This window comes from Homo sapiens, chromosome 6 (assembly GCF_000001405.40).
Source record: "Homo sapiens chromosome 6, GRCh38.p14 Primary Assembly".
In the NCBI taxonomy this organism is placed as follows: domain Eukaryota; kingdom Metazoa; phylum Chordata; class Mammalia; order Primates; family Hominidae; genus Homo; species Homo sapiens.
The window spans coordinates 69670023-69690555 of NC_000006.12; the positions used below are offsets into that span (position 1 = coordinate 69670023).

Sequence of the window (20533 nt, forward strand, 5' to 3'; positions counted from 1 at the left end):
AAACTATATTCCTGACCATAAAGGCTTAGTTCTCCAGAGAAATGCTATCCTATCCCTAGGTTATAAGTTAATCTTTGTTTATGGACTCTGTTCTACAAAGAAAGTGTTCAAATTCCCTGTGAAATCACAGGTGAAGATTATGGGTGGTATTAGAAGTGCTTCTCGTGATTTTGCCAATGAGAAGAATAAGGTAGCCCCCAATAAAACTTACCAAATTAAAATATGCATGGAGAGGGAGAAAGGTCAGAAGAGTGACTTTCCTAGAACTGAGGTGTAGCTTAATCTATATGTACAAATCTAATAAAGTATGTCACTTGAGACTTAAACATAGCCAATATATGTGTTGAGAACTGTCCAAGGCAGCACAACTCAATCCGGGCAACTTGGGCAATCTGGTCCCCTTAGAGTGGTCTCTGCTGAAGAAGGGTGGATATTTAATCAAGCGTCATCACAAAATGCCTGAAATGCCCCTTGCTACCTATCTCACATCACTTCAATCCCACAGTCATCAAGTAACCTGCTGATTATGCTTCCAGGAGAGGATGTATTGTGGTTTGGAAATATGAAAATTCTGGTAATTGGAGTATCTTTGATTATAACTGTAACTTGATAAAGTGATTTCTTTTATGTATATTTATTCATCATATCAGACACATACAATCTTAGTAGATATTGACAAGGTCCAGTTACTACCAAAGGCCATTTGGCTACTAATTCCTACCTAGATCAAGTTCTGAAATGATGGGTCTTATCTTCTTTAACTGTAGAAATTCAGTAGCCGCGATCCAGTGCCTGAAATAACTACAAGTTTAGATGTTTGCTGAGTGAATAAGTTACATACACACAAAGCTAATCCATGTTGAGATTTCTTGATAGCCAAAATGATTTTCCTGGAGATCCCAAATTCTGTCTCCTTGCATATGGTCTTTCTATTTAAACTTTAGCAAAGACATTTGTTCGTTAACATTCTTTACATAATAATTCACAATGTAACTTCCTTCTAAATTTTGGTGCCAGAAAAAATTATCAGGAGGAAAACTGAGTGCTTCCTTCTATCAAATGTAAAATCTTCATTATCCATCATCTTTTTTCTCGGCTGCCAGAAAATTCCAAGACATATTTACATATAATCACAATGGCTATTATCTTCTGATAAAATTTCTCCTTTACGTATTTTTTATCTTTAATATATTTAAATATTGTCTACTGACTTCCTACAGTAAGAGAATTTCTTGAGACATTTTCTTCTTGCTTCTCTTTTATTCCATCTCCTAACATTGTTATACACATTGAGTAACTCTAATTTGAAAATCTGAAATCTGAAATGCTCCAAAATCTGAAATTTCTTTAGCATCAACATGATGCTTGAAGGAAATGCTCACTGAAGCATTACAGATTTCGTATTTTTTGATTAGGAATGCTCTACTGGTATGTATTCTGCACATATTCTAAAACAAAAAAACTCAAAATCCAAAACACTTCTGTTCCCAAGCATTTTGGATAAGGGATAATCAACCTGTATTACCATTTTAGATGCTGTATTGATTACCCCCATAGCTTTAATCAGCTGTAGGGGAGGAAAAAATCTTTTCTCTGTCCATTTTAGGAGCCCCAGCTGGGGCTCTGTAATAGAAGACAAATTAACAGGAGAAAAGCAAACAAATTAGTAAGAGTTGAATACTTCATATTGAATTGGACAAAGAGTAGTAAATTACAAAAATGTGGCAAGACAAAGGGGCTGGGGCCAGGGCAGAAAATGGTGGAACAGTAACTGGGAAAATGAGATATATTTTGCATGTTTGTCCCCTTCAAATCTCATGTTAAAATGTGATCCCCAGTGTTGGAGGAGGGGCCTGGTGGGGGGTGTTTTGGTCATGGAGGCACATCCCTCATGAGTAACCGGGTTTGGTGCTGTCCTAGTGGTAGTGAGTTCTCTATCAATTCATGCTAGAGCTGGTTGTTTAAAAGAGCCTGGAACCTCCTCTGCTTGCTCTCACCATGTGATACGTAGATTTCCCCTTCTACTTCCACCATAATTGTAAGGTTCCTGAGGCCTCACCAGAAGCAGATGCTGGCACCAGCTTGCTTGTATAGCCTGAAGAACAGTAAGCCAAATAAACTTTTTTCTTTGTAAATTACACAGACTCAGGTATTACTTTATAGCAACACAAATGGACTAATACAATAAGGGTTTCTTTAACAAGGTTGGTTTGTACAGGTTTTTCTCAGCCCTTATGACAAAAATTTAACTTTCCTTCTGGTATAGACAGGACATCTTCCATATGGGAGTTTTTATGTCCTGTTTTAGGAAGAAAAAGGGGTGGTCAAAGCATCCTTCTTGCATCTGCTGTTACAAGCTCAAAATAATTTGTATGCCAAAATGGCATATTTTGGGGTGGCATACTCTGCTACCCTTCAAGATATATAATCCCTCTACCAGAGACATATTTCTTAATTTCTCTCTTCTCCCCATCATCCCTCTCATAAAATGAGGATATCAACATGAACTCTTTTCCCCTTAGGTCTCTTTCCACCCCTCTTCTTCATTCTTCCAGGTTTTCACAACTGTCTTTTTATGTGGTCAAGGTCATACTTAAATTCTGTGCTGTAATCAGTGTTTACTGTGCTTTGCCTATGAAATGATTCTAAAACAGTATATTACTGAACTATGTACGTATCTTTCACTGAAGAGCTCGGTAGTATATTTGGAAAACATTATTTTCTGTATTGCTTTTTGCTTTCCTGAAGCTCCTGTGTTTCCTTTTCTTTTGCAATATGCATTTTTCATTTCCTTTGGTATGGTAGCACTGAGCTAGAAGTCAGTTCCAGGGTCCTCATTCTGCCAGTACCTTGTTGCATGGATGAATAATCACTTGTTTGAAGTTTACATGGAACATGACAGCCTTGGCCTTTTGGAAAGTTGTCACTTTAGATGATCTCTAATTTAGGTATTTTCCAGAAGGACTTCAAAGGAAATATGTTCTTCATTAGTGGAATTCATAACACAAATCAGCTTCATGAAAATGCAAAGTTAATAAAGGCATTCCACATGACTGGGAGGAAAAAAATACCTTAGTGTTAGAATAAAAGTAAACTTCTAAATATGTAGAAAGTTTATAGAATCTAGGATGAAAAAAATACATTTAAAAAATACAACTAACAAAATCAAAAGCTAAGAAGTTGGTCTGACAGAAACCAACAAAACATTACTAAAAGTAATGAAAAGTATATGGAGTATTCAAGACAAATACTTCTAACCTTGTAGGTTTCAAAATCAACCTCAAAAACAGGCTAAATATTCCTCCTTACTCAAAATAGTTTTTGTATGCTTAAACCATATAGACAAAGCTTAAGGCTTCTTTCTAACAAATTCACCTGTCAACTGAATACCTCCCATGTGTAAGAAGCTATTCTAGGCACCAAGGACAAAGTTGAAAAACCAGATGTTGTGTTTAAGTACTTAGAGTCTAGGCAATAAATCACAATATACCGTACAGGGTGACATGTGGATAGGGAGGAGCTAGCACCTGTGTGTGGGCAACCTGGGGGAGGAGGGACCTAGGGAGATAATGCTAAGGCTGAGACTTGAAGAATAAGGATTTTCTTAGAAGACAAAAGGAAGGGACAGGCATCAAAAGCAGAAGGAATAGTTCGACAGAGTGGGGATGTGAAGACTCATAGCCATGTGAATAATAGGAGCCATTTGTTAGCTGCCTCATATAACTGGTGTGGGGATGGCAGGGGAACTTGGAGTCAGAAGAGATGCACACCAGAAAGGCATTATCTATCCCATGAAGGCTTATGGAGTTCATTCTAAAATAACTGAAAGCTTTTTGCAGTAAAGAAATGAAATAATCAGATTTGTATTTTAAATGTTCAGAAAAGACTGAAAGGAGTCAAGACTTTGCAGAAAGCCCAGTGAGGAATTTCAAGAACCAGAGTTTATCAGTCTGCTTGGGCTGCCATCACAAAATGCCACAGACTCAGTGGCTTAAACAACAGAAATTTATTTTCTCACAGATCTGGAAGCTGGAACCTCAAGATTAAAGGGTTGACAACACTGGATTCTCCTGAGGCCTCTCCTGTTGGCTTGCAGACCACTGCCTTCTCATTGCATCCTCACATGGCCTCTTCTTTGTACATACACATTCTAGATGTCTCTCCCCCTTCTTATAAGAACACCAGTCATATTGGATTTGGGCTTCACGCAATAGCCTCATTTTACTTTAATTACTTTTAAAAGGCCCTATCTCCACATAAAGTATTATTCTATGAAGTACCAGGGGACAAGATTTCAACATATGAATTGTAAGGGGACACAATTCAGCCTATAACATAGAAAGTGGAGAAGAAGGGACAAATGGAAAGATAGGAAGTAGAAATTAACATGACATGATTGTTTGATGAGTCAGTTATACAGAAGAGATATGGAGATCTACCTGATTCTTTGTTTAGGCAATCAAGTGTCTGCGGTGCCATTTGTCAAAAAAATGAATGCAGAAGAAGGCTTAGTTTGCCCCCACAAAAGTGAATACTTCAATTTTCAAAATGTTACAGTTGAAGCAGTAATTTCTAGCTAAAAGATAACTCAAAGTTCAGAGCTTAAGAACAAGTAGTATAGATAGAAGCCAAGGGTATGTGAGATTGTCCACAAAGAAAATGTAATATAAGGCCGAGCGTGGTGGCTTATGCCTGTAATCCCAGCACTTTGGGAGGCCACTGTGGGTGGATCATGAGGTCAGGAGTTCAAGACCAGCCTGGCCAAGATGGTGAAACCCCATCTCTGCTAAAAATACAAAAACTAGCCAGGCATGGTGGCACATGCCTGTAATCCCAGCTACTCAGGAGGCTGAGGCAGGAGAATTGCTTGAATGCATGAAGGGGAGGTTGCAGTGAGCTGAGATCGTGCCATTGCACTCCAGCCTGGGCGACAAGAGTGAAACTCCATCTTAAAAAAAAAGAAAAAAGAAAATGTAAAATAAGAACAGAAGGGAATGAAATCCTGGTGAATAATGCTAAAGGGTAGTTGCAGAAGCAGAAGCCAAATACGAAAGCTGTGAAGGTTTATCAAGAGAGATGAAGAATCAGAACAGAGAAAAATGGCACAAAAATTAAGGGAGAGAATAATTAACTTAGATATAGTTGTTAATTCCTAAACTTTTTTTCAGAAACTTAATGATATTTTACCTCAAGGATCATGATATATACTTTTTTATGAGTTCTAATGTGCTTATGTTAGTAAACTAGAATATAATTTTTTATTATTTCTCACTATCCAGAATGTGTTCAAAATACCCTACTGATGTCATACAGCTTTCATTACATCTTTTGCAAATTTCAAATCTTTAGAATGAAAAATTATCTCTAAAACCAAAATATGATGCCATATATCTTAAATTAATCCATAAACTGATTTTTTTTTCCAGGATTAATTATTCTTGACAATACCCCTATTTATATTGAAATACACATTTTGAGGTCAGATGCAAAACAAAAGCTACCTATAACAATATGTATGCCTTAAATACTGTAGAGGTTGTAAGTTATCTAATGGACTGATATTTGAACAATATAACACATCTTGGAACGCCATGCTCTTAGAGCACTAACTAGAGTTTGAAATCTTTTCATGAAATCTACTTGAGTGGTGCTAAAGATTTTATGCAGAAAACTGAAAACAATTTGCATATGGGAGTAACATTCATCAGCTATATTGTAAATATTATTTGGAGGCAATCAGAGAGAGACACTTTAAAATTCCACATCACTCTGGAGAACCTAAGGCACAGATACAGATGATTTATTATGTTTTCAAAAAGTGACAAAAGGGAATATTAATTCTGGAAGATTTTTAATCAATTTAACACTATTATACATTAGAGGAAAAAATTTTGCACAAACATTCCCTCACAAAGCCAGTAGTCTTATATTTACATAGCATGATTATGGTAATTTAAAATGTTAATCTATGATACAATGTTACTTCAGAAAACATATAATAAAATATAGTTGTCTTATAGCCATGCTCCCATTTTTGATGAAAGCTAGTTAGCAAATCCTAATGTTAGTTTAATACTTTAAAAATGCATAACAGATATTCAGTCAGCATTATAAAACCTTTAAGACAGAAGGCTGTCAAGCAGAATAGACAGAGGGCTCATCATCACTTATGTCTGAATCTTCATCTACTCCTTCAATAACCGATTTCTTCCCTTTACAACAGGATACAATTAATCCAATCAAAAATACCTGTAAATTTAAATAAGCCATGTGTTATTTTTCAAATTTAAAATCATCTGGAAAGTAATGCTTTAAAATTCAATGACAGTACTATGATACAAATGGCCTAGTAAGATAAAAAGAGTTTACACATTTAACTATAATTTATAAAGGAAGGTCAAATCACGCGTGGGATATCTGCACTTACCCCAAGAAAGGCCCAGTTACCAAAATAGTAAGCAGCACTGAAGAACCAGAACTTGTGAAGGAATAGGTATGTCCGGGTAACAGTACACTGATCTGTGAAAGCAAATAAAAGACTATGGTGAGATAGGTTCTTTCATAAAATTGATGATTAATACTTTCTCTAAAAGATTATTAACCAAAGCTAATGACTAAGATCATATGGCTAGTAAGTGTCAGAGATGGTACTGAAACTTAGGTCTCTCTCCAAAGCCCACTCTTTCAATCACCTTAATGTAGTGTTAAAAACTGCCAATTAATATGACATATTAAAAAAAAAATGAATGCCACCAATGCAATCCAGATCTTAAGTATAAAAAAATCATCTTGACTAGTTTGCTTTACTGGAAATAGAAGAATCATTTTTACTTGGAGTGTCAGACATATCATAAAACAAAAAAAAAGTTTTCCTGATGAACATCAAGAAGAAAGAACAAAGTAATCAGATGTGGTCAGTATTAAGTTGCACTTGTAGGGGCAGAAAGGTCTAATACCTTTCCTCACCCATTGTAAGTTTCACGGTCAACACTCCTATAACAGAAGACAGGTTAACAAGAGAAAAGCATAACAAATTTATTTAGTCAGTTTTACATGACACAGGAGGCTTCAGAAATGAAGACTCAAGGGAAAACTGTGTATTTTCAAGCTTCGTCAATGAAGAATGGAGAGCTAAGAGCTAAGAATAGAGAGTAATTGGACAAAAGTGTATAACCAAATGGTAACAGACTGAGCGGGGAAAGCCAGCAAGGTCTGTATGTTCAGATTCTTCCTGGTCTTTCTACACAGCATCCCCTCCTTCAAGGTATAGGGCAGAACTCCTTTTGGAATGAGGGTCTTATGACCTACTATTAGACAAGGTAGGTCATAGAATTTCTTTATGGCCAGCTCCTACATAGAAAGGCAGGGGAAGGTTAGAATAATATTTCTAGGTTTATGGCTGGCTTTGGAAAAGTGGGGTTCTAATTTCTATGACATGGTTGGGGGAAGAGAAGTTCCAGTTTCTATGGTCTGCCTTGGGAGAGAAAGGGGAACAGAAGAAAGAAGGGCAAGGGAAGGTTGAAAGGATACTTTGCTTCTGGGGGTCTTCCAATATCCTTCAGTTCAAAGTACTTAGCATGTTACAGTGTGTGCTATCATTTTCTTATCCCCAACACACTTTTCTAAGAAACCAATTCTCACGGCAGCTCAAGCTTGAGAGGTTTCTTTCAGCTTTTATCTTTTTATGACTGCTATTGAATGGATGACTACTACTTCTAAAGAAATAGGAAAATCATTATTTACTGATGTGATTCCTGTTTGAACTTTAGACGGCATTATAGATGTAATTAAAAATAAATCATATATTTTTCTCCTTCAAATAAAATGTAACTCTCAAAGAGAAAGTAGCAGACTGGTTATTTGATATTTGTGTAAACCCCATATTAGTTTTGTACAAATACATTATTTCCATTAGTTGCAAAGTCATCTACACATATTCAAGCCATTCAGAGAGGCCTGTGGCAACACAGTACAGTTGACCCTCAAGCAAAACAGGTTAGAGTTGCCAACCACCACACACAATCAAAAATCCACATATAACTTTTGACTTCTCCAAAACGTAACTACTAAATAGCCTGGTGTTTTCTGGAGGCCTTACTGATAACACGAACTATAGATTGACACATATTTTGTATGTTATGTATATTACATACTATGATCTTACAATAAAGTAAGCTAAAGAAAAGAAAATGTTATTAAGAAAATCATAAAAAGTGAAAATATATTTACTATTAAGTGGAAGTAGATTATCATAAAGGTCTTTATCCTCATTGTCTTTACATTGAATTGGCTGATGGGAAGGGGAAGGATGGGGAAGAGGAGGGGTTGGTCTTGCTGTCTCAAGTGGCAGAGGTGGAAGAGGTGAAGGAAGTAGAATAGGAGGCAGGAGAGGCAACTGAAACTTTTATTGAAAAAAAATCTGGCATAAGTGAACCCATGCAGTTCAAACTTGTGTTGTTCAAGGGTCAACTACATTATGTAATTGAGTGTAAAATTATATATGCTGCATCTAATAGAGGATACTAACCTCACAAATTTCAGAAGGCCTACTTCTTTTCAGTCTGTTAATTACAAAATAAATTATAATTTCTACATATTTTTATTCAAAATGGACAATGGCAAAAAGATCCTACATGCAATTAGAAGACCAATCTCATATCCTATTGTTAATCAAGAAAATACACCTTTAGTTCTATTTTTCTGAGCTCTCTTCTCAGCTTCAATAAGTAAGTGTTCTTTTCTCTCAAAACATAAAATTGAGCTGAGGGCTACATAGTCCAGCTTATTACATAAGGGATCTAATAACACTTTTTTTGTTCCTGTCACATGGTTTTCCAAAAATAGCATTAAAGTTATATTTTATCAACATATAAGACTTGTTACATAAAGCTTCAGATATGTGATGTAAAGATTTAGATAATCTAAATTTTATCTACTCTAAACCCTTCCACTGTACTTCAACATTTACTTCTGAATTGCTCAATACCAAACTGAACAAACCTGTCTCTTTCTGGTTAAAACAAAAAAAAAAAAACAAAAACAAACAAACAAAAAAAATCACACAGTTTAATAAAGAAGCAACTTCTTCCTTTTAGGAGCAAGGACTACCAATCTAATTCCTATCTATTGAGCCCCCAAAAGCTCCCTTCAGAGTCTTTCTTCTCTTTATCAACAGAAAAGTCTAGAATGAATATTCACAGTTTTCTAAGAAAACCAGAAAGCCTTTAAGCAGCATTAGCTGGACATATTTCTGTCTCCTATAGTTACCATAGATGAGTACAGCTTTACACTAGGTGCTGGGAGTTCAGACTCACAGCAGAGACTCCTGGATAGAAAATTTGTCATTTACTTCGTGCTCCCACCACATTTTATTCTCACTTTTATTACAGAACTTACTTCACAGTGATATAGCTATTCAATTTGTCATTTTTTTTCCAGTAGATATACTGAGTATCCTAAAATACCATTGGAGTACTCAAATCCATTCATATTCAATGACTGTTGACGTTAAAAGGGGATATTTTAAATTTATATTAATTAAATAGCCCATTTTCTAATTTTTAAAAATTGAAATCTGACAAGATTCCAAGGGTATAAAAATGAGAAAATTGAATATATCTTGAAATTAAAGCATAACTAAAATGTCCAGCATGGTGAACGAAGAGCCCAGGCTCCGGACTCTGACAGACTTGGAGGTGAATAGCATTTGGTCACTTTTTTGCCATGTGTACAGGCAAATCTGAACTGTGGAGCCTGTGGACTTATAAAAAGGGGATATCACCATCTTTCCTCACAGAATTGCTATAAAGATCATATGACATATACATCAAAAGCCCCAGGCAAAGTGGCGCTTAATATTAATTTTCTTCCTTTTTCCTCTGCAAGGTATAGAGAACAATTGTGAAGAGCTACTCAAATGGTTGCAAGTCTTAAGATTTCAGACACGCATGTCCAACAGTAGGAAAATAATTGGTTAGTCATTAATATCATGACTACTCTGTGCATGCCCATTATTTTTCTGTCTCTACAGTTGAAACAGACACAAATGGATTTGGCAAAATTCAAATTTGTATAATCAGTATCAGCATACACTGCTAAATATACCTTTAAATAACCAATTTGAATGTTTCAAAAATGAAGAGCAGGGTAGGCTTGGACCTACCCAAAAAATGCCTGTTCATAATTATTTTAAAAACAAGAATGGTATCATTCATGGTTTAAGTATTACTTTAGCTTCATTTTACAAGTATAAGCCTGTGAAAAACTCAACTTTCTCAATACTGCTAATGCTGTAAACTTAAAAAATAAAAGTTATTTCACTCATTTCCATACTTATGATATTTTGGGAGTCAGAACTTGACAAAATTAGAAATTTCAGGGCCAGAACAGGGCTAACAAAACAGAGGCTGAGCTGGCAGAAGCAAGATAAATCAAATCATTCTTCTCCAGACATCTAATAATCCACTTAGTGACATTTTAAATTGGCTTATACTCTCTGACTCTTGCCCACCACCAAAACCATATCTTAAATATTTTTTTGATCACATTATTTTACATGTTTACCTTTTTAAAAGGTTGTGGACTTTGACAGAAGCCTTTTAAAATACCATAAAAATGTATCATCATTCTGCGTTGTTGTTGAAAAATGATAGAAGGCTAAAAATCCACACACACAATAAGTAACAGCTCTTTATATGCATCTTTATACATATATATCATTTTATTTCTATTAACTGGGATATACCCATATAAAAATTTTTGCTAATAAGATGCATGCATATATTTCCTATTCAAGTGACAATTCCACCCTGAATAAATGGAGGGGAGTGCCGTTCTTCACCATCTGCCATCTTCCAGCTGCTCACCTGAATCACAGATATCTAGGAGATATATAGATTTCTTTCTATAATTATCCAACTAAGAAAATCACAATAAAGGTTCTGAATTTGGTTTTACCTTCAAAGTAAATTTAAACTGTTGGATATTTCATTTAGGAATTGTGTTCTAAAATCAGAAGTATTCCAGAAACTTCTGACTGTTGTTCCTCAAAAGAAAATATAATTGAATTAAAGATTAAACTTCCAATTAAACTAAAGATTAGATGTTAACAATGAACACTAAACATGGGGGAGGGGGGCTCAGATAATTTTTTTTTCTGATGAGAAAGTGGCCATACAAAAAAGAATTCAAAGGGCCAAAAAGGGGCATCTGAAGCATATGAATAAAATCAAGACTTTTGAATCCTGCTACTACCACCATTCCTTCATCTCTTCTCACATATCATCAAACAGAGAAATAACAGGAAATGCAAGTACACCATTTTTTTTGTAATTTAACAGCAGTCTTTAAGGATTTATCTGATAAATTTTATATTATATATTTCCTGTTTCCTTTGTTATGTCACTTTTAATGTATCTTGACTGCCACTAAGATAACTTTGGTTAAGTAGAATAAATAATACCTTTTATTTTAAATACATATTTTAAAAACATTTAATGTTTAAGCCACAACTGAGTCATCATGTTAAACCTTCACTTGAAATCAATTTATAATTAATTACTCTATATTTGCATTTTATAAAACAAAGCCTTATTTTACGTGTATATATATAGAAGACATTTGAGAACACTCATGTAACATGGAGAATAATTTTAAAACAAGCAATTTATTTGACTAGTGACCAAAAAAACTTAGAAGCCTAGACTATTTAGAAGCCACTTCATAGCTCTTGGCTGCCCATGACTGTGCCAATTGGTTCCTGATTAGGGTCTTGCTACTATTGAATATTTATAATGAACATATATATCTTAACTGTATACAGGCTAAGGAGCTTGGATTTTATTGTGATATGATTTGAAATTATTTATAAAATGGTTTTAAGAAAGAATAACAAGAGTGGAGTACAGACTAGAAGAGGAGATTGAAAGTAGAAAGAGGTTTACCAAGTTAGAAGACTATACAACTGGAAAAAATGAGCTCAGGGATGGGAAGAAAAAAGTTGGGATCTGTGAGATTTTTAGGATTTAAAATCCTAATGTTTTATCGTCAGATGGAATACATACACGTAAAAAGATTTCGGAAACTAATGAAATACATCCAAATAAATGGGAAGGCAGAAAAAATGAAGATATATAATAAAAACCAAAGTTGTATATTTATATTAAAATTTAACAAGTGGCATACAGTTAAATCAATGTTTTGTTAAATCTCACTGGGAGATTTAGGTAAAGGGGAAGAGAACTGATGAATGTCAAAACTCACAGAAATTTTGAAGGACACAGTTTTCTTATACTTTAAGAATACACAAACTGTATCAGGTTAATAAAGATATTTGCCAGATATTTTGCACTTAAGAATAAGTTTCAGAGTAACCATTTTTAAGAACAAGTATAATCTGTGTTGAGCTCTGGTTATATTTAAATAAGTTTAAAGCATTTCCAAGGTGCTAAAATATATATTTGCCTTTTAAGAAAGAATGCTACTAATTTCATTTTATTACTAATTGGCCATATAACACTCATTAAAAGGGAGTACAAGGTAAGTATTAGCATATAAAATGTAGAAATGGTATAATCACAATCTGTATAAGTGAACTCTAAATTACTGAGACTTACTATCTGCTGGTTGTAATTGTCCAAGGATAGTCAGATATAAAGCAATTGTCTTCTATTACTTTAACTTTTGATAAAATAAAAGTAGTTTAAACGGATATACTAGAAAATATTAAAGACAGAAAACTGAGATTTAGTTGAGTCTGACACTAATTTACTATGAGACCCTTGAGGTAATTCATTTAGCTTCTAAATATCAGTTTCTTTGTAAGTGACATACAGATATGTGTGGTATATGGTGCTAGATCAAATTTCTGGGAATTTAGAGAGAAATTTGCATTTGAAAGAAAAGAAAAGACTGATGTTTTCAGAGTTAGCCACCTTAAGCAATAATCTGTGAGTAGCTGAGAAGTTTCACAAAATTATTTAGGTTGGCTTTGGTGTAGATACTGGAGAACTTAGAAAGCATACAGCTAATCAACTTTACTATACTATTTTAGTTAAACTTCTATCAACACAACCGCAATGTCACCTAGAAAAAGAACCTCAACATCAGGAGACTTTCTAGATCCCCAGCAACATCCAAGAAAAATGATGCTCTGATCAATACTCAATTTTCCAGTCTGCATCGCAATCTTGATTGACAATAGACATAATACATCAGGCTATCTAAGCTAGATACCAGCCAATAAGATCACTGAGGCCCTCTTTCTAACTTCATGTTTACCTAGACATTGTATGACTATAAATTTGATTTTCCATGCAAATTCTTTCTCTCTGGTAATAATTCACTAACCTTGATCATCTAGTTTATTTAATAGTTAAACTTTCTAGGGTAAATTAATTAGCTGCCATTTGGGTGACATTAGATTCTTGGGCTGTTCTCTGTTCAGTCATATGAAGCTAAATATAGATGCTGGAGACCAAAGTATGGCACTTCTTAGAAATAGTTCGATCTCATCACCTACTATTGTGCTACACATCTTATGGGTTTACTATAATCAAATCAAATGAGGTTATCAACACAAACTTCTTATTTGTCAAATAAAAGATTAGAAATGTATAGTATTTAACCACAAAAAAAATTTTAACCTGTTGAAAACATAGCTTACTGGTTCAAGATAACAGACTTAGCACAGTCATTTGTTTCTTATCCTTCTCAGGACCTCATTACTGTTCTAGTATAGGAATAAAGCCAGGAGCAATCCTTTATCAGCAAAGAGAATGGAAGTAGAACCATCAGCTGATGAGAGGTTCCAACAATAATCCAGAAGATGGAAGGCCACATTTAAAAGGTCTCCAGTAAAACAGATGGTTTTCCTCCCATTTATTTTAAAATATAATATGAGGATCAAGAAGTCCCAGATGCATGCACAGAGTTACCAGCAATGACACTTCCCAGTTCCTGATATTTAAATACAAATTGGCATAAATGTGAATGGATCATCAAATATATGTAGAGAACAATCAACATGAGGGAAAAAGAAAACAAGATAAACAACTGCACTAGGATAACCAAAATTATAATTTTACTTAAAGGAAACTATTAAGAAAAATATTTACTATCTTCAGGTATTAAAGATATTACATCCATAAAATAAGGACACTTGAAAAGAACAATCAGAACAACAAAATACTCAGGAAAATAACAATTTATCATATGAAATTAAAATTCATAATATGGTTGACAAAGCTGAATACATACCAAAGAACATAGAGTAAATGGTAGGCAGAAAATATGAAAATGAGATAATACAAACAATCAATTGAAGATATTCAATAAATAATAAAAAAGAATTCCCCAAAGAGAAAATAGAAAATAGAAAGAAACCATGAAGTACCTTCAGAAGAAAAAATAAACTGGCATTAGATTTCTTACCAGTTAAAATGAAAGTAGGAGATAATATAATGCCTTTAAAGTTGTAAGAGGAAATGACTTCTCATGCAGAATTCTAAGCACAGCCAAACTATCCATTAATTGTGAGGACAGAATACTTTTCAGATATATAAGCACTTTTCAGATATGTATTTCATATAAAGAATTTTATTTTTTACCCTAGTAAAACTAAGGGCTTGGGAGAATTCACCAAGAAAGAAGATATGATTTACAATGCATCGGAAGTCTAATGGACAGAAATTGTAGCATTATAATATATAATTATGATTTGTAAAGCTGAGCAGCAGAATCAGAAAAGAATTAATCCAAATAAAAACAGGAAATCAGTAGGTTCCCAGAAGGAAGTTTTCAGGTCAATACAATGGGTTTCATCCAACAGATAAAGTGAGCAAGAAGCTAGAAAATATTAGGCATACTAACATCTTATGTTACTTTAATAATACTATTTAAAAAGAGAAAAGACAAAGGAACAAATTTTAGAATGTGGTTCAATTCTACAAATGTTTAAGGGAGACAAAGATATATTTTCTTATTCTCAAGGAACTTACATTTCTATAAAAAGTAGAATAGAGATAAGATATATGAAGACTATACATTGAGAGAGAATAAGGTAACGTTATAAAAAGTATAAATGCTATGGGAATTCAAAGGAAAAAAGAGAGCACACACATGTTTGGAGATTGAAAAAAGAAGGTTGAGTTAGAAATTAACCTTGTAAGAAGATCCGGATTCTGACTGATGAAAATGGGAGGGGTAGGGCGAAGATTTTTTGTGATATTTCAAAAACAAATCATTGAAAAGCAAAGGTAGATAAGAATCTGGCCATGTCCGAACATGTATGAAAAAAAGCTAGAGACTTGTAAGCGTTAAATAGTAGTAGTCCTTAAATCCTAGACTGAATTTATCAGATGATGTGAGGGGAGCACTTACAGTTTTTACTAGAGAAATGGCATTATCAGCATACTTTGGAAGAGTGGTTTCCACAGTGTGGTTCCCAGACCAGAAAATTCTAGGGTCCCACCTCAGATCCACTAAATCAAAAACTTTGGGTCAGGCGTGGTGGCTCATGCCTGTAACCCCAGCACTTTGGGAGGCTGAGGCGGGCAGATCACCTGAGGTCAGGAGTTCAGGACCAGCCTGGGCAACATGGTGAAACCCTGTCTCTACTAAAAATACAAAAATTAGTTGGGCATGGTGGCACGTGCCTGTAATCCCAGCTACTCAGGAGGCTGAGGCAGGAGAATTGTTGGAACCCGGGAGGCAGAGGCTGCAGTGAGCCGAGATCACATCACTGCACTCCAGCCTGGGTGACAAGCGAGGCTCCGTCTCAAAAACAAACAAACAAACAAAAACACACACACAACTTTGCAATCTCGGTTTCACAAATCTTCCAAGTGATTTTGATGCATGCGAAAGTTTGATAACCTTTCTTTTACTCTAAGTTAAGGTAAAATCACTAAAAGGTACAGTAATTTAAGGGAGACATGATGGAAAGGGGATGTAAGGGTCATTATGGCAAACAAAACAAAATAAAACAAGACAAAACAAAACAAAAAAACTCTGCAGCTCTTAGTAACTGATTAGGTGTGGAGAAGAAGCGAATAACTACTTTGAAGAATGTGGTAGTATAAGAAATACTTAAGTCAGTATAGTCCAAAGTCTTTATCTAATAGTTTATACTATCTTCCCCAAGAGCTATTCATTATAAACATTCTTATAAATACATTACCAAAATAAGGCAAAGTTCTTTATATTAGTTTTACATGATTAATAATTCTCGTTTAGAGTTCCCCATACATAGCTAACAGGTTAGCATCTTTATTTTTTCTTCCTTGACCTTGAGGTAACACCCTAACCTACATACCACATCACAGCTACACACATGCTTTCATCCATAATGTTCAATAACCAGCTGCGGTGCTCAGAACCTAATAGGTTACACTATTAGTTCTCTATGAAGGAATATCCAGAACAAAACAAAGTCAAGTAGGCCCAAAGGAAAAAAGAAATGTATAACCTTAATAGGTACACATACATTTTAAAGATAATTATTATAGATATTATCAAAATTAGAATGTGAAATATTAAACAAATACTTTCTAATTAAAACCCTTAAAAAACGGGCATCACCCCTGACTCCCTTCTCTCTCTGTCTCTCTCAAACTCTCTATCAAGCAAATACTATTGGCTCTACCTTCAAAATATATCCAGATCCTGACCACTTTTTGCCACTGCCACTACCACCATAAGCTCTCCCTTGGATTATTGCAAAACGCTTCTGTCAACCTGCTTTTACCCTTGGCTCATTATGATCTGTATCACAGGTAGGCAAACTATGGCACGCAGGGCAAATCAAGCCTATCATTTGTAAGTTTTATTGAAACATAGCTACAGCCATCCCTTAAGTAATGTCTATGGCAGTTTTCATGCTGCAATGGAAGAGCTGAGTGGTTATCATAGACTACTGCATGACCCACAAAGCCTGAAATATTTACTATCTGGCTATTTACAGAAAAAAGTTTCCAAGCCTTGGTCTATATACAACACAGTAGTCAGAGTGATCCTGTGAGAACATAAGTCACATCATGCCATTCCTCTGTTGACAATCTTCCAGATACTTTTCATTTGAAAGTAAAAGCTGATGTCCTTAAAATTATCTGCTTGCTATTCCTCTACCTCCTCAAGCATACTCCTGCTGTGTACTTGCTGTTAACACTATCTACAATACTCCTCTCCAGATACTGTGTTTGCTCTTCACTTCTTTAAAGTCATGTCACCTTCCCAGTAAGAATTCCCTTTCTCCTGTACCTAAAATTTCAAACCATTCCTCCTTCTGAACACCAGTTAATCTCCTTTGGCACTTTATTTTTCTCCATAATACTTGTCACCTGACATATTTATTTGTCTGTCCCCTTATATTAAGTAAGCTCCATGGGGACAGGGATACTAGAGTGTTTTGTTCACTGCTGTATCCCTAGCACCTAGAATAGTACCTAGCACAGAGCAGACATCAACAAATATTTGTTAAATGAAAAAGCACAAGAATAATAGATAAGTAAAATTAAATGACCTATGTAATACTGGAAATTAAGACATTTATAAATTTATCTTAGAATTTCACGACTAACAGGATTGTGCTTCTCCGTATTACTAAAGAAGATATGTCAATATATTCGAAAGGTGACTGAAATGCAACACAGTCATTACTTAATATTGTATTCCACAAATAAAGAGGGTAACTTTCTAAATAAAGCTATCAAAATTATCAAAATTCTAGTAGAGTTGATGACTTATATTAATCTTATAAGCTAAATCTAACTATCCTTAACTTTCTCACCCTCACTACCAAATTTTCAGACCATAAAACAAAAGGACCACGTAGTTTTTTTTAAAGGTCTCTGCCCCATGTTCTTCCGTCTAAAGAACCAGATGACCTACATTCTCCTGAAGAGGGTTATGTTCTTAGTTATATACTTTCAGAAATCTAAAGCTTAATATGGGGTAGGAAGTGTGAAGTAGATAGTCCATATTCAAACCTGCTTTTTAAATTAAGACAGGAGCAATCTAGCACCATTTCATTTTGCATTATATTTAGGGACTACCATTAGGCTCACAGTACCACAGAAGGTATTAACGAAGATATTAGGAGACTGTCATCACAAAGCATCAATGTCACTTTTTATTTCACCCTTTAAGACTTAGTTTCTAGTGAAATTGCTTGACCAGCTTCATTTTAGTCTGTTAAAATTGGCTGTTCTTAACATGAACATTTTAACTTTAATTGGATAAATCCAACATCAGGTATCAACTAGTGTAGTAATTCTTTTAATAACATCAGTTTTAAACAAAAGTAAGCCTCTCTGGCAAAACACATTCTTTATGTATTTGTATTTATTTATTTAGCTCACAGGCCAAAGTTTGAAGGGCAGAGATTTTTTTTTTTTTTCACTTAAATCCATTGTTAGTGACAATGTAAGTGTTTAAACAGTATTGCTTTAGGAATCTCAGAAGTTCAAGTAGAAAGACATATTCCATATTCTGGGAAAAGACGGTACAAAGACTTTAAGAATTTAATTTTTTAAAAGTTTCAGTAACTACCTTCAGTTACCTTCAGTTAACTACCTACCTACTCATACTTTTCAACAAACTGGGAAAAAAGTCTTCTCTAAAATCAGCATCTACTTGGCAGATGTATGTCATCATTGTGTCTCTCATTGTTTCATCCTTAAAAATGTGTAATACTTTTAATTGCAGAGGTAATAAAAGATATTTATTTAAAAAAAATAAAGTGATTATCTACTTCTTTCCTGAGGCACACAGACTTTCAGATTTTGTTTATGCACGAAAGCATTTAAAAATGAGGTAATATATATACTCTTTCACCTACTTTCACGGTGTTTACTTTTCTATGTCAAAACATACAAAGTTAGATCATTACCTTGTATGTATTGCTATTTAAAGTATCTTCATTGGTAGATAAATACCCAGTTGGTTCCTTTTGTTTTGCTATTTCTTATGTAAACTTGGTGGGATTTGGATACTAGTTACTAAAATGAGATAAAATATGAATCTGGTTTCAAGACTTCTATAAGGGTAAACTACTTTAGGAGACAGAAAAGGAATAGGACAACTCTCCCTATCCCATGACTTGGGGTGGGGGTAGATGAGAAAAATAAATGGAGGCGAGAAGGAAAGAAGTTCAATCTAAGAATGGAGATTTCATAGCTTGGTCAGACATGCATGTCCATACAGATAAACTAGCAGACAGTTAAAAAATAAGAAAAGAAAGTTAAGATTCTGAATTCTTGATTTCTTCCCCATATATTATTCAGCATAACTAGCTTATATACTGTCAACTCTCCAAACAACATTAAAAAACCTCACTCATCTAGCAAAGCTAAGTTTAGCAGACTGACTTCAGTGAGGAAGAACAAGAAGAGGAAAGACAGAGAAGGATATTTACAAGGTTTTAGGGTTGGGTGGGCTGGACCACTTTAATCAGCATTTTTCAAGGTGAGAACCTGGTTAGAACTGACAAAATAGTTTTGGATTGGTAAGAATGATGAAATGGGAAGTCCTGAAGCAAGTCTTTTTGGGAAATCAGTCTTGATAAATAAGCTATTTTAGTTGTTTCACCATCAAGAGTGAGATTTTCCTAAAGCAAGCATACAACTATGTTTGCTTGTTCTAAGTTTTATTTAGCATAGAGGCATGGAAATATTCCTGCCCCAGAATTGTTTATCAGAGTAATATTATATTGGTGCCAACTCTCCCCATTTTATGGGATTAACAAATTTTTAAAATTTATTGATCAGCTTTAAAAATGTTTTAGACTTTATTATGAATTGTTAAAATTAAATCTGGTACTCTGCAATGATATGCTGGAGTAGACAGGTAAATCTGAAAAATAACGAGAGAGAAAGCAGTAAATTTACAATAGTTCCTCAATATCCATGGGGGATTGGTTCCAGGAATCACCCTCCCATTCCCACCCTAAGACACCAAAATCCACGGATACTCAAAGCCCCTTATATAGGAGAATAGTATTAGCATACAATGTACTGCGAGGGTTTCATTCACTCATTCATTCATTTTTTTTTTTTTTAAACTAGTTCTTGTCCTCTGCCAATATTTTGAGCTGATCTTATTCCTTTCCTTCAGTTGGCTGGGTCATAATCTGTGTTGATAATTCTAACACAGATTTTTGCAAGTCTATTTATACTCATTCTCTTGGAGAGTTCTCATCCAGTCTCACAACTTTACTTCCCATCTATCCCTGACTAATCCAGTATACATTTTTTCTCCAGAACTCCAGATACAACTTAATTGTCACTCAAGATCTCCACTTGATGTTTAATGAACGACTCAAACAAAAATGCTCAAAACTAAACTCTACATTCTCCCTCAATACATAAATGTAAACAATAGATAGATGGAATAAAGAATACAATTACTTTGCAAAAAGACTCAAGAGGAATTAGCCAACAAGAAATCTCCTGAATGCTGTTCAGTAAGATTCCATATGAAATATTAGATTTACAAACAACTTTTGGTAATAAATTCATGCTTTTAGTTCATGTGGCAT

At 34.5% G+C, this 20533-nt stretch overlaps 1 protein-coding gene across 4 annotated transcripts in view; it reads right to left on the bottom strand.

Moving 5' to 3' along the window:
* The window catches only part of LMBRD1 (LMBR1 domain containing 1), a 123001-nt gene continuing 106455 nt past the window's right edge, over positions 3988 to 20533 (bottom strand). For all 4 annotated transcript variants that reach the window (NM_018368.4, NM_001367272.1, NM_001367271.1 and 1 more), the window contains exons 15-16: positions 6428 to 6519; positions 3988 to 6249 (exon numbers count right to left, since the gene is read on the bottom strand). In NM_018368.4, coding sequence (NP_060838.3) covers positions 6136 to 6249; positions 6428 to 6519 — 206 coding nt within the window. In that variant the 3' untranslated portion in view covers positions 3988 to 6135. The remainder of the gene's footprint in view (positions 6250 to 6427; positions 6520 to 20533) is intronic.